At 44.0% G+C, this 14,887-nt stretch overlaps 1 protein-coding gene and 1 long non-coding RNA gene across 5 annotated transcripts in view; one reads left to right on the top strand and one right to left on the bottom strand.

Annotated features, from left to right (window-relative positions):
• The window catches only part of NHEJ1 (non-homologous end joining factor 1), a 91,459-nt gene extending 84,263 nt beyond the window's left edge, over nt 1-7,196 (top strand). For all 4 annotated transcript variants that reach the window (NR_165304.1, NM_024782.3, NM_001377499.1 and 1 more), the window contains one exon: nt 98-7,196. Coding sequence is in view for 3 of the 4 variants with exons in the window: in NM_024782.3 (NP_079058.1) it covers nt 98-172 (75 nt within the window). In the remaining variant the exon portion in view is untranslated. The remainder of the gene's footprint in view (nt 1-97) is intronic.
• On the bottom strand, nt 6,531-14,860 carry LOC124906120 (uncharacterized). The gene is made up of 3 exons (XR_007088092.1): nt 11,018-14,860; nt 8,716-8,844; nt 6,531-7,436 (listed from the first exon to the last, which is right to left on the bottom strand). It is a non-coding gene; the product is annotated as an uncharacterized LOC124906120 (long non-coding RNA).

The raw sequence follows: 14,887 nt of genomic DNA, 5'->3' as shown, positions 1-14,887 counted from the left end.
CATCCTAACCAGGAGCCATGAGAGGAAGAAAGTTCCTTTCCTAATTTCAGTGGAACTATTTCAAAACCCCTACTAACTTGGGTTCCCTTTTTTCTAGGGTACTTCAGGCCCTCTGCAGAGACCTCAGCTGTCAAAGGTCAAGAGGAAGAAGCCAAGGGGTCTCTTCAGTTAATCTGTTGTGGCCTCAGCTGCTGAGGATGGACTTGGAGAACAGCTTCCAAGCTTCACCTTGAAAGAAGCTTACATGGCAGCAATATTTCTAAAATAGTGATACAGTCAGAGGCCTCCTGTAAGGGCGAGAGAACTGAAGTTGATGTTGACAGGCCCACAGGGAATTGGCCTTCCCTGTTCAAGTGGAAGCCAGTCTCTGAGAATCCCGTGCTCTCCTCTCTTTTGGTGGAGGTTCTGTAGGTTCAGGTTTCTACCATGGACTTTAGGTATATAGGGCAAGTCAGCAAGAAAGCACCACACACTCAGGAAGCCTTGTCTACCTTTCCCTAGCGTCTCTAGCCAGCCAGCCCCAGATACTCCTCAGAGACCCACTTCTCTCTTTTGCATGGAATAAAAAGCACTCACAGTCCCTGCTTTTGGGATTACTTATGCTGTGGAACTCATAACCCAATTCACTTCCTTCACTGGGTCCCACCCCATTGTTGTCTCTGGATGAAGTCTAGCCATCAGTCTGGTCCTTCAGATTCTTCGTAAACTTTTCTGCAGTTGCCAGAGCTAAGTCTCCATTTGGAAACTTTGATCTCAAGAACTCTCTTGATGGTGGGCACAAGACAGATAGGTGATTGCTGCTTTCCTTTGCCAAACTTGGATGCATTTTTCTCTTTGTTTCCAAAGTATAGGCAACAGGTTAAACTACCACGTGGGGTAGTTTATCAATCCTCCCGCCTCATCCTTCTGCATAACTGGGACTAAAGGCACACACCACCACACCTAGCTAATTTTTGTATTTTTTTGTGTGTGGAGACAAGGCTTTGCCATGTTGCCCAGGCTGGTCTTGAACTCCTGGACTCTAGTGATCTGCCCACCTCAACCTCCCAAAGTGCTGGGATTACAGGCATGAGCTACCACGCCTATCCAATTTCTGGTTTATTTACTTTCGATGGTTAAATGCCTCCTTATTCAAATATCCTGTATATATACTGGCGTTTCTGTCCTGATGTCAAGTCTCGAGAGAAGATGATCAAACAATAATAAAATAATTATAATAAGAACAACAATAATAAATAGCTAACATTTATTGAGCAGTTAATGTATACCAGCTACTCTAATGAGCACTTGACATTGATCCTCATAGCATCATATGAGGAAGATGCTGTTAACCCATTAAGAAATTGGATCCTGAAGTGAGTAAGTGACTTATCAAAGGTCATACAGCTAATAAGTGACAGCCAGAATTTAAGCCCAGACAGCTGAGTTCTTAACAGCATTATTATATACACTAATGAAAACATTTATTTTCCAGAAAGGACATTAGGTTCTTCTTTCCAGTCTCCCACTGTAAACCTCCTTATCCCATGACCTTGCCTCTTTTCAATAGGATGTCTGCTCCCCAGGGGCTCTTCAAGGAAGGAGCTCTTGAGGACTCCAGGACTTACCCTCATGCTTTTTCCTGCTAGCAGAGTCTGAGATCTCCACCAAGGCTCATTCCCAGTCACTGCTGATAACTTTTCTTTACCCCCAGACCACAGGACCCTAGAGTGTGCTGTGTGGTAGTGACTGTCATCGAAGTGAATTGGGAACTATATAAAAACAGCCTATCAGCTGGCTTACTTTGCTCTTTTGTTACTTTTTTTTTTTTTTAATGGAGTCTTGCTCTTGTTGCCTAGGCTGGAGTACAATCGCACAATTTTGGCTCACTGCAAACTCCACCTCCTGTGTTCAAGTGATTCTCCTGCCTCAGCCTCCCGAGTAGCTGGGATTAGATGCCTGCCACCAAGCCCGGCTAATTTTTGTATTTTTTGTAGAGACAGGGTTTCACCATGTTGGCTAGGCTGGTCTCGAACTCCTGACCTCAGGTGATCTACCTGCCTCGGCCTCCCAAAGTGCTGGGATTACACGTTTGAGCCACTGTGCCTGGCCGATCTTTCGTTTCTTTTCAGCATAATTTAGATAGTCAGATTTCAGTATCTACAAGGCACATGGAAAATGGAAAGGCTTCCCCTGCAAGCTTGGAGAAAATACCGGTTCTTCACCCTGGGCATTCCCTGTACTGTAACAGCACAGACTCAAGACATTTTTCATCACAGCGGGGCCAGAGGCCTGTGAATCCCTCAAAATTGTAGGTAAAATCTTAAGAGCAAAATTTTGTTGATGTTCTCAAAAAGAATGTGTGACTTTCTAAAAAGGTTAAGTAAGAATATAGCTAGTAACCTTCCATCCACTGCCCCCATCATCCCCAAAGGTTGCTGTCTCCATTGGGGTATTGCTTAAATACGTTGTTAGAGAAACATTGCTACCAGAGGCCCTGCCACAGGCATTCTTGCCCCGAAGCCCTTACCCCGCAAAGCTAGGGGTAGTGGTTGAGAATCATTCATCCTAAGGCAACTCCAGGGAAATCCCTGCTTTGACAAATTGGCCTAGCCAGGCTGTATTCCAGCCCTGCCCCCTGGCTTGGGCCCCTCCCTGAGGCCCCCAGCCTGGCCCAACCCCCACTCTACATGCACATAAAAGGGTCGAATTCTCGTGGCTGCTCCATAAATTTTATTCCGTAAATATTAGTTTTCCCTGTGTTTAATAAAGCAGTGGCCCACCTCCCCGCCTACCCGCCCGCTCCCCGGGGCTGGGGCTGGGGCCAGGGCTGGCTGGTGGGAGAAGGGACTCTTTCAATTGCTTTGGAGTATTTTTAGAAAAAAAAATAATATAAGGTGGTTTACACGAGCAAGCCAGCAAACCAGGAGCAGGACTTGGGACCTCGAGGAAGTTCCTGCAGGAACTTGACCTAAAAAGTAGAGAAATAGCGCCACCTAGATTGCAAGGCCTACTTGGCCTTGCCGGCTGGTCCCCCATAGTTAGCTAGGACAGGCATGCTCCCTGCTTGGAGAGAAAGCCTCATCCCTTTCCACTCTAGCTGGGTAGCACCTCCTTTTCTCATGCCTCAGTGGGGGCTTCCCCAGCAACCCTTAAAAGCAGAGCTCAGGCTGGGTCCTAAAAGATATCACTAGGGTCATTCTCTTCTCTTGTCACCAGGCAGCCAGTCTCCCAGATCAAGGAGGATTTCCAAGGGATAGTAAAGTTATTGAGAAGGCAGGAAGAAAGCTTCTAGTCTCCATCTTTCCCTGATTCCTGAGAAGCGAATTCCTATGGTGTAAGGTGGCGAAGAGTGAGATCTGTGCTTCTATGCTCTGAACTGGAAAGAGTCTAGCCTGTTGAGACCAAAATCCTTCCACAGGCCTGGTGTAGCGCACCCACAGTGAGCACTGGGGGAAGGAGAGATGCTCACATCTCTTGATACTCAGCCCTACTGCTGCTCGTTTTTATCCAGCGGTACATTTGGACTCCCTTTTCTTTCCTTCCTTTTCACTTAGACCTCCCATTTTCCCAAGCCCTTACCTCCTCCTTAGCCCACGTTTGTTGGGAGATAAGCAGGGGCCCCTTGTGTACTCTGTACAAAGCTGGCGGGAGGAGTGGGGAATGGAAAAGGCTGTGCTGCTCCTCCTGGTTTCGTTCCTTACATTGTCACTAGGAGCATTTTCCTCTCTCTGTTTATTCTGTCTCTCATTTTCTCCTACTTACAAAACTACACAGATTCGCTCCAGAGAGTATAGAGTAAGCCTAAATTCTCTTAATAGCCCTTCCTCATGATATGGTAAGCTCACTTTGTCTGTTCTGCTTATGCTGTTAATGTAGACTGTGTTAATAGACACACTTCCTGTGCACTTTTCTGTTTTCATCCTTTCATTAGGTTATACTCTTTGAGAACAGGGTCAGTTTTAACCCTAACTCAGAAAATATCACTTCAGGGATATTATACCATTAACAAATATAATTTTATGTCAACTAGGTTTTGATACAATCAGGATATGTTTTTCTAAGCTCTACTGTGAAGTAGTTTCTGTCTTCTAATTTTTCTTGAAGAAAAAACTGTTAGAAAGGAATAAGTGACATACTGCAAGGAAGCCACCAAACTCAGAGCTCAAGAACCTTGGTTCCTCGTCTCTGTTACTAATATCCATAAATGTATGGGCTAGCAAAATTGTAATGGATTACACTAGGCCCTTAGATACAGAGGGGAATGCAGGAAGAGAAGGAAGCCCATACTTTATAGGAGGGGGGTTCCCAGCTGCATTGATGCCCTGGAAGCTGCTACAGGGTGCTCTTGTCCAGGGCAGCTCATTGCTCTATGTTTTTTCCTTGTGTTCTTGGCCAAGGCCTCAGAAGATCTCACCATGAGCGGAACATCCAGTGCATGGAGGGTATGAGGTAGCTTGTCTTATGTGAGGAAGAGGGACCATAGGGAATCCTTCTCTATTTGAACATCTAGAAGTCCATCTTTCTTGATCTTTCATCCCATCTTCTGAGACTTTTTTTGTGGTGGCCTTTTATGTATCCTCTCAGCTCTGGGCTCTCAGTTCTCTATCCTAGCACATAGGAAGTCATTAGGTAGCACCCAAGTATTCTAGCAAAGGCTTCATCACTCTTCTGAGCTATTAAGTCCCACCCCACTCAGTTTCTCTATTTGGAGCCCAACAGATTTTGCTATCCTTCCACCCACTCAGCACCCAACTCTTATGGGTTCTCAAGAATCTGGGCCAGCCTACCAGGGGAACCCGGAAGAAGCACTGGAAGAGCTCCAGGGTGTGGGGAGCACACAGCCATTGACTCACCTGGGAAGATTGTGCTAGGATTACTTGTCCTGCTGGGCCAAGGGCCAGTAGTTAAAGGAGCATGCAGTGCCACACTCTTCCTCTCTGCCCTTACTCTGGGGCCCAAAACAGTAGCAGAGTTAGAATTGGGGAGTAGGGTTCAGGGGCTGCTGGGAGTCCCTTCTGAAATGTGTTGTATTTACTTTTTCATATTGGCAGCTGGAAGGGGAAGCCCATCCCAGCTCGGCATTGTTGTCTAACATGGTTAATCAGATCCTATAATCCTGCTGTGGAAATATTGGGCCTCACTCAAAACAATAGAGACCGAGAATATTGTGGTTAAATTTCAACCAACGGCCTCCCTGGCCTGTTTGCCTAACCCCTACCCCCCTCTCCCGGGCCAGAGTCCTCCTAGCTTTATGGACCCCTGATAGGATTGACGGCCAGTCAGAAATGGGTGACAGGAGAGGGGAGAATGGAGTAGGGGAAGGGTGATCCTTTTGACTGGCACTTCATCCTGGCTTTTCCCTCCTACCTCAGGCCTTGAAGGCTGAGCAGGGGATGGTGAAAGGGGTTGGAGCTGGTAGGGAAGCCCCACAGGGTGTGGGTCTCCACTCAGGGATCAAGAGCAGTGCTGTTGGGAATCATGCATGGTAAAGACAGCCCTTACTCAAGACAGAAAAAGCCTGATGCCACATGAGAAGGGAAGACTGCCAGTTTCATTTAGCATTGTTGCCTAGCGGGGATTTCAGGGCGTCCTGTCACGTGAGAGGAATGGGGAGGCACTAGTTGTGGAAGGCAGAGCTGGTAATAATTTAGATTTTGTTTCATAGATAACAGCAATACTAATAACGGTGTGATGACATTTGAAGGTGATACTGATGGCCCTACTTGAGTGGTTTTCTGATAGTGGTAATGTCTGTTGTGTTGCCCTCTTTCATAGGTGTGAATTAAATCTGGCAGGAAAATTTACATAGTTAGAATAGCAAGACAAAGGGAATAGATCATTTCAGAAGGATAAGCTGTACAATGGTATTTTGAATTAAAAAAAAAAAAGAAAGAAAAGATTGAGTGTCTGGATTGTGCTAAAGGGGAAATTTAAGACTGGGCTCCATGGCTTACGCCTGTAATCCCAGCACTTTGGGAGGCTGAGGCGGGAGGATTGCTTGAGGCTAGGAGTTTGAGACCAGCCTAGGCAACATGGCGAAACCCTGTCTTTGCAAAACATTTTTAAAATTAGCGTGGTGGGCCAGGCGCAGTGGCTCACGCCTGTAATCCCAGCACTTTGGGAGGCTGAGGCAGGTGGATCACCTGAGGTCAGGAATTTGAGACCAGCCTGGCCAACATGGTGAAACCCCATCTCTACTAAAAATACAAAAATTAGCTGGATGTGGTGGCGCACACCTGTAATCCCAGCTAGTCTACTCAGGAGGCTGAGGCAGGAGAATCGCTGGAACCCGGGAGGCAGAGGCTGCAGTGAGCTGAGATCGTGCCACTGCACTCCACCCTGGGCGACAGAGCAAGACTCCATCTCAAAAATAAAAATAAAAAAAAAATTAGTGTGGTGATGTGCGCCTGTAGTCCCAGGTACTCCGGAGGCTGTGGCAGATTGTGGGCTTATTGAACACAGGCAGTTTGTGGCCATTCAGCAAGGAGCATAATGCCCCTGTTGGTGGTGATAGTGAATAAGCACTCAGTGCAGTCAATAAGTATATAATTTGAGTTAATGCATGTTTAATGATTCCTGTTTCTTGTTGAATGTGGATTTCTCTATCTCATTCCCAATACATTTCCTACAAGCCAGTGCCATTCCCTTGAATTGCTTTATAGCAATCTGGAATGTTTTCCCATTGGATTTTCTCACTTGCAGCTCAAGTCTGTGAACACCATGAGGTTTAATCAACATGAGGTTTAAGCCAACTTTATAGGCTTCCTATATCTCCCTTCCTGGTCAGCAATATAGCCCATTCTCTGGAGCTTCCCGTGGGGATTTTTCTTCCCAGTGAATTCTTCCTATTAGTTATCTAAGTGGTTTAACTGTTGAAATGTTTTCCGTCATCTTTAGATCCTTTTGAAACCACTTTCTCTACCTGCTTCAGTTCCATTTGATGACCGCCATCATCTTTGAGATTCCCATCCAGAACCATGCATACCTCTTAGGTTCTCACAGCCAGGAGCTATTTCCTAAGTTGTCTTTCTGGTGGAAAGCTCAGCTCCTACTAAGCAGTCCTTGCTTCAAAATGGCTTTGATGAATGACCCAAAGGAGCCAGGCCAGTCCCTGAGTCATCACAGAGCACCCTAGGTGAGAAACCCTGAAGTGTTCTCTGCTGTTGCTCCACCCCTACCCTATATGAACAGATTAAATCGTTTCGTTTGGCACAGTTCTGCTATTTTCATTTGTCAATCCCTAAAAATGCACACACACTTTGACTGTTCACTAGTCCATAGTGCAGGAACTGGGGCCTCACTGTACTTCACCTCGTTGACTGGTGACACCTCCAAAAACAGTGTGGCTGTGACTTGTGCCTGGTGCATCCCGGGTGCATGACAGCCAAGTACAAACTCGAAGTCAGTCGCCTCACAAGCTGGGTGTCCTAGTGAGGAGTCTTCTCTGCCTTTTGCTGAAAATATCACTGTGTTAAATTTCCCCTTTATTTTTAAATTTTCCATTTATTTACTTTCAAGGTATCTCACTCATTTGCCCAGGCTGTAGTGCAGTGGCACAATCATGGCTTACTGCAGCCTCAACTTCCTGGGCTCAAGGAAAGCCATTAGGCCCAGCCCAAAGTTGATATTTAAAAGATAGATTCTTTCCCCCAAATTGTTTCTTTTTTTATTTTCTCCCCCATGGGGTCTCACTAAGTTGCCCGGTCTGGTCTCACATTTCTGGTCTCAAACAATCTCCTTACCTCAACTTCCTGAGTAGCTGGGACAATAGGCAAGTGCCTCCACACCCAGCATTCCTCTCAAATTTTTCAAGTATGGGAGCTAGGTGAGGTGGCTCGCACCTGTAATTCCAGCACTTTGGGAGGCTGAGTCGGGTGGATCACGAGGTCAAGAGATCAAGACCATCCTGGCCAACATGGTGAAACCCCGTTTTTACTAAAATTACAAAAATTAGCTGGGTGTGGTGGCACACACCTGTAGTCCCAGCTACTCTGGAGGCTGAGGCAGGAGAATCACTTGAACCCAGGAGGTGGAGGTTGCAGTGAGCCGAGATAGTGCCACTGTACTTCAGCCTGGCGACAGAGCAAGACTCTGTCTCAGGAGAAAAAAAAAAAAAATTAAGTGTACAAAGGAGAAAGTGAGAACCATGACAGGGTCTCTCTCTCTCTCTTTTTTAAAGTTTAAAAGAATCCTATATGTATATACTGTTTTGTTACCTACTTTTACTTAATTATGTTGTGTCTATATTTGCATGTCAATACATAAATCTCTTTAAAGGGTAAATTATCTTCACTCTGAGCTTTACAAAAAGTTTGAAAAACACCCTCGTGATCAGAAAGTAGAAAGTTAAACTCACTCACTCCATCCTCCTCTCCGGTGACTCTCCCACCTAGCTTTATTTTCTTTAGTCGCAATGGTCTCCTTGCTGTTTCCCTGACATACCATGGTTCTGTCTGCCGAGAATGCTCTTCCCCTAGGTATCTGCTTGGTCAAAACCTTCACCTCTTTCAGCCCTTTGCTCAAATCGCACCTTCTCAATGAGACCAACATTAACCACTCTACGGAGGAATCTGCCTTCTGACCTTGCATCCCCCTCCTGCCACAAGCTGGCTGCACCCCAATCCTTTCACCCTGTGCTTGGAATGTGGTGTTTTGCCCATAGTCCTTTCTTATTCCCTTCTAACCCATTATTATTATTACAGATGATCCCCAATGTACGATGGTTCAACTTACAATTTTTTGACTCGATGATGGTGCAAAAGCCATCTGTATTCAGTAGAAGCCGTACTTTGAGTGCCCGTACAATCATTCTGTTTTTCACTTGCAGTATAGTATTCAGTAAATTACATTAGATATTCAACACTGGATTATAAAACAGGTTTTGTGTTAGATGATATTGGCCAACTGTAGGCTAATGTGAGCGTTCTGAGCATGTTTAAGGTAAGCTAGGATGTGACATTTGCTAGGTTAGGTGTATTAAATGCGTTTTCGACTTAGGATATTGTCAACTTACAGTGGGTTTAGCGGGACACAACCCCATTGTAAACTGAAGCGCAACTATATATTTTATTTTATTTTATTTTATTTTTTGAGATGAAGCCTCACTCTGTTGCCCAGGCTGGAGTGCGGTGGCATCATCTCGGCTTACTGAAACGTCCCTCCTGAGTTCAAGTGATTCTCCTGCCTCAGTCTCCCTAGTAGCTGGGATTACAGGCACGCACCACCATGCCCAGCTAATTTTTGTATTTTTAGTAGAGATGAGGTTTCACCATGTTTCTAGGCTGGTCTCAAACTCCTGACCTCAGGTGATCCACCCACTTCCGCCTCCCTGGGATTACAGGTGTGAACCACCGCGCCCAGCCTATTTATTTAGAGACAGAGTCTTGCTCTGTCACCCAGGCTGGAATGGAGTGGTGCGATCTTGGCTCACTGCAACCTCTGCCTCCCTGGTTCAAGCAATTCTGGTGCCTCAGCCATTTGAATAGCTGGGATTACAGGTGGATACCACCATGCCTGGCTAATTTTTGTATTTTTAGTAGAGACGGGGTTTCACCATGTTGGCCATGCTGGTCTCGAACTCCTGACCTCAGATGATCTGCCCGCCTCGGCCTCCCAAAGTGCTGGGATTACAGGCATGAGCCATGGCGCTCAGTGAGTTATTTGTTCTTATGTTCGTTTTTAATTGTCCGTCTCCCCAACTCCTCTTTACTAGAATAAAGTTCCATGAGGACAGGGATTTTGTTTTGTTTTGTTTTTTGTTCTCTCACATTTCAAGCACCTAGAACAGTGTCTGGCACTTAGTAGGTTCTCAAAAATTTTTTTTATGGAGTGCATAAATGAAGAAAGATTATCACACACATAAGACACCCCTGTTCACACCAGCAGTATCTTGGGTGGTTTTAGGAATTTGTGGATATAAATGAAGTCTGTTTTGTTTGGGGCACTCTGTTGTAGGGTGGGAGTGAGTGTTAAATACCCTTTTGTTAGTTATAACCGTAATAGAATAAACTTGTCATTTTGCAGAAGCTAAGAATACAAGTTACTAAAAAGCAAATGACTATATCCTTTCTTGCTTTCTTTGGCTACAGATCCCCAGCATCCTTAGGGTACCATCTCTACCCAGAGGGACCGGGTGAGAGAGTGTGGGTAGATTAGTACAAACCCAGTTACAGAAAGCTGATAGGCGTGCCAGGGAATCACTTGAGTATTATTGAACATTCACTGAACTAGTGTTTTCTAAGATTTTCTATTAAGCAGCTCACTTCTTCTCAAATAGAGACTGGAGTAGAAATAAAGGCTGGGCGTGGTAGCTCAGAAATAAAGCTCATTAGTTAGTCAATATATTATAATCCATGTCCTTCTCCTCCTCCTTCTTCTTCTTCTGACAGAGTCTTGCTCTGTTGGCCAGGCTGGAGTGCAGTGGTGCAATCTTGGCTCACGAAAACCTCTGCCTCCGGGGTTCAAGCCATCCTTGTGCCTCAGCCACCTGAATAGCTGGGATTATAGGCGCGCACCACCACACCCAGCTAAATTTTGTATTTTTAGTAAAGAAGGAGTTTCGCCATGTTGGCCAGGCTGGTCTTGAACTCTTGACCTCAAGTGATCCACTGGCTTTGGCCTCCCAAAGTGCTGGGATTACAGGTGTGAGCCACCAAGCCCAGCCCTAGAAAAAAAGACGTCTGTCTTTTTTTTTCTGTAAATGTCTTTCTATAAGATAAGAGTTTCCCACAATCTTTGGTCTCTGATTTGAGGGAAAAACACTCTGTAACTAATTCTGCCTTTTCCTAGCTTTTCAAAGTCATCAAAGCAAGGTCTTTAATGCCTGACTCTCTCTGAAGTACCTTGTAATGAGCTTATTGTTTGAGCAAAGGTAACTTGACATTCCCGTTTCTAATCAACAGCCAGCTTTCAAAGCATTGTTAGTTTTGAGTGGCTCTAGTTGGATCTCCAAATGTGACCTGGACTGATCAGAGGCTTGAAAGACAGGTATGCTTTTATTTCTGCATATGGGGCCAAATTTGGTGGAGTTGCTTACCTTTTCAAAAAATCAACAGTAGAAGTCAGAGTGACACCATTCTGTTGGGGAAGTGGTCAGTCAAATGAAGTATAAGGTGTTAAAAGCCCAAGAAGAAGGTAACAGTTCTAGAAGGAGGAAAAACAGTTTCTTCGATTTAGGAAGGAAAATGATTGACTTGAACAGAGGTGGACAACCCAGCATGCTTGCCCTGGGAATCATTCACCAAGAGACTGTTACCGTGGAGTCAACAAGGGCCTGGATTCCAACTCCAGCTCCCTATTGGACAAGCTCTGAACCTGAGTTTCTGCATTTGTAAAATCAAGATAATAGTGTGAACTTCACAAGGTTTTTGTGAAGGTTTTGTGAGACGATATTAGGGTTTCCTCTCTTTCTTAGATCATCTAACTTGGCTCTTCATCATTACTAGGCCATCATCTTTGCTTGTACCACTCCCCTTTCCTGAGTATCCTCTTCATTCTTTTCAGTCATTCCCTTCCCTCCTTCAGAACTGATTTTATCCAAGAGATCTAACCCCAGGCTAATCATTTCTTATTTCCATATTCTCCTAGACCAAATTCATCTAATCTGTTAGCCTATCTAGTTTATAATGCATTATTCTGTATTCATTTATGAGTAGCATTTGTGGCTTTGTAATTGTCTTTTATTTTCGTGATTTGTCTTTAAGGTTAAATAGTAAATTCCTCAAGGACAACTGTATCTTCTACTTTTCTGTTTGCATTCTGTGTTCTTATGTGCCTATTATACTACAGCATCAAGGTAGATATTCCCTAATAGAAAGAGATAGCGGCTGCTAATGACCACTGCTGTCTTGGGTCACCACACATGAGCCTCCTTATGTATTCCCCCTAGATGAGTAATAGGAATCAGAAAACTTGCTGCTGTCCCTAAGTGAACCCAGCAGAGGATAAAAGTGAATTATAAGTAACATTTGTACTTTAAAGCTTATATGTTTTAACCCTTTCAACAACTCTATGAGGTATGTGATATTATTTTCATGTTATAGATGAGAAAATGGAAGTTCAGAGTCATGTCTAAGGTCACACAGGTAGAAGGTAGCAAAGATGGTGTTCAGGCATGGGTTTGCCACCTCCAGGTCTACTGTTTCTACTGAGCCAGGGTTGCTGTGCACTGGGTCACTGGAGGGTGTTGGACTAACTGCATTCCTGAAACTTGTCTGGTTGTGGCTTACCACCCTTGGATTTAGAGCTGGATTGATCTGGTCAAGTGGCAGGATTAGGAGAAAAAATACTAGTTGACTATAGAAGTATGGACCTATGCAGTATGTATGTGGATGTGAAGATATGCTATAGAATATCATGTATATACTATAAGTACAATGTATTTCTACTATATAGTGTTAAATTAAGATTGACTAAAAATACTAACATGGTAGTCTACTAAGTAGATATTTAAATTATGTTCTATTATGTATTTCCCTCCATTTCTAACCTATTTTTTTAACTTTCACTTTTCTAAACAAAAAATTAATCATATTATCCAAAGCAATAGATAATTTGTTCTCTTCAAAATAGAGCTGATTGAAGGATAGAAGAGATCTAAAGGTGAAAGAAGAAAGTGATTTTACCAGCAGGCCCAGGAGGGTCGAGCCCAGTGAGGCTCGATCACTGCATCTCTCTCCTGATAATGAGGTCACATGTCCCAGGCTGTATGCCACTGGAGCTTCCATAGTGGCATACTCTGCCCCCGTCCAATTTTAATACTGCTGACAGAGGCTGGCAATGATCAGAAAAAGAACCAGGCCTTGTTTGATAGGTCTAAGGAGCTACTAGCCCAGTTTAAAAGCCACCCAACACCTACTGAACAGCTAAGAACATAGGCAGCCAAGAAATGACCCGGATACTGAGGCCCCAGGTTGGATTTAAAGTGCTCCAGGTCACTGCTGTAGAAATTATGGTGCTCCCAGTCTCCATCCTTCCTCCACTGAAGGAGGTTGGACTGATGTTGACCCAAATTTGAGATTCAGATCTTGGAGCACCATTATGTCCTGAGAAAAGAGTATAGCTTTGGAGTGCAAAAGCTCTGGGTTCAAATTTTAGCTCTGGGACCCCAGGCAAGTTACTTGGCATCTAGATCTTGGAGTTATAAATTTGTAAAATGAGAATAATGTCATGCACAGAGGATTATTGTGGAGATTTTACTAATTGTGTAAAGCACCTGGCAGAGAGAAAAGACTTGATACACGCTGGTCTCCCTCTGCTTCTCCAGCACACACCCTAATCACTGTTCCTAAATTAGCCTGGCAGAGGAGGGTCTGGTCTTGGTGAAGCCCAGTCTCAACCAACGAGGTGGCTCTGCTGCAGAGGCACACCTGATGGCAAGCTATGGGAGTACTTATAGCATAAAAACTTATTTGACATGGATCAGATCTTTACCAGATTTGTATTTAATAGGTTAGAATTACAGTCTGAGAGAGGAGAAATGAGAGGAAGAATGGAAAAGCTAATAAATGGTTATAAATTAGAACCTCTGAGAGAACTTAAAGAAATTGTCTTTTACTTGGAGAAAAGAAGATTGAAAGCAATTTAACAACTCTTCAAGACAATGCATGAAGGATAATCAGCAGGATAATGGCCCTAATCCCTAAGGCCAGAAAAAGAGGAACGAGTTGAATTTGCATTAGAGAGGGAGGGAGATAGATTAAATTTAAGGCGAAATTTCTCTAGAAGAATATTATTAAACAGTGGGATAGGTGACCGCAGAAGCCTATGGAATTTTCTTTCATGGAACTCCATAAAAACAGAGAGCCCCTGTTTGGTTTGTGAGAGGTACTGACCCTGTTCCAGAAATCTGAGGTAGAGGGGCAGGAGGGAAAGGGGATGGAGAATATCGCAGAGATAGTTCTTGAGCCCTGGAAAATACAAGTTAAAGCACTTGGAAGGCTTTCAGGGAAAAGAAGCAACATTCATCTTTGACTAGGAAACAGAATCTGAATGCTAATGCAAGAGAGAACATGCGGGGTGGGGAGAAGGTGCGGGCAAAGGGGAGGAAAGGAGGCGATCCATTTTGTTTCCACATTGCAGGCACCACTCCACTCCTAGTGGAGCAATCCTAAATTTCTTTCTGTGGGCCTCAGTTTCCTTTTCTGTAATATCAAGCGCTTAGATTAAGCACTCTCTTGAGTCTCATCCAATCCTGAATTTGTGTTTATAAAACCGATCCAGAGAGTGTGAGTAAATCTGTGAACAGCTACTTCAGCCCCGAACCCAGTGGTGTTGAGTGGACTGGTCCTGCACAGAGGGACAATGCACCTGCATGGGCAAAAACTGGGGCTGGGCCAGAGTCATGGGCTTCAATCCCTGCTTTTCAGCCACTAGCAAGTTGTTCATCTTCTCTGAACTTCAATATCTTCATTCGTAAAATGTGGACAGTAATAGCTCCTTTGGCCGTTTCGAGTTTAAATTAGATAATGCAAGTAGAAGACATAGTACAATAATATCTAATAACTACCATGTTCAGGAATATAAGTACCAATAAAATGGTACCTATTGTATTAATAGCATTTGAGTGAGAATTTTTAAGTCTTTTTATTTCTCATCTTTTCATTTCTACCTTTATTGGATTTGTAGAATCTATTACAGTCAAATCATATAGTTTGGTGTTGTGGTGGTGATGTTTTTTGTTTGCTTTTTAACACACTTGCCTTTACTTGTTTTGGCAGAAGGGATCCTAATTCATTCAGCTTTCTCGAATGTCATATAAAAACACATAACACATGTTCACGTTCCTAGTTGTTTCTACATATTCTCTGCTCTTTTAGATGTGTAATATAGAACCAAGTAATTATTTAGCAGTTCCGGTGGCTTTGCATCATTTTGGCATTCATACCAAGCCCCCGTTACTGAGATC

This window comes from Homo sapiens, chromosome 2 (assembly GCF_000001405.40).
Source record: "Homo sapiens chromosome 2, GRCh38.p14 Primary Assembly".
In the NCBI taxonomy this organism is placed as follows: Eukaryota; Metazoa; Chordata; class Mammalia; order Primates; family Hominidae; genus Homo; species Homo sapiens.
Note: the sequence above shows the minus strand (reverse complement) of the source record. Positions and strands in the feature narration are given on the sequence as shown.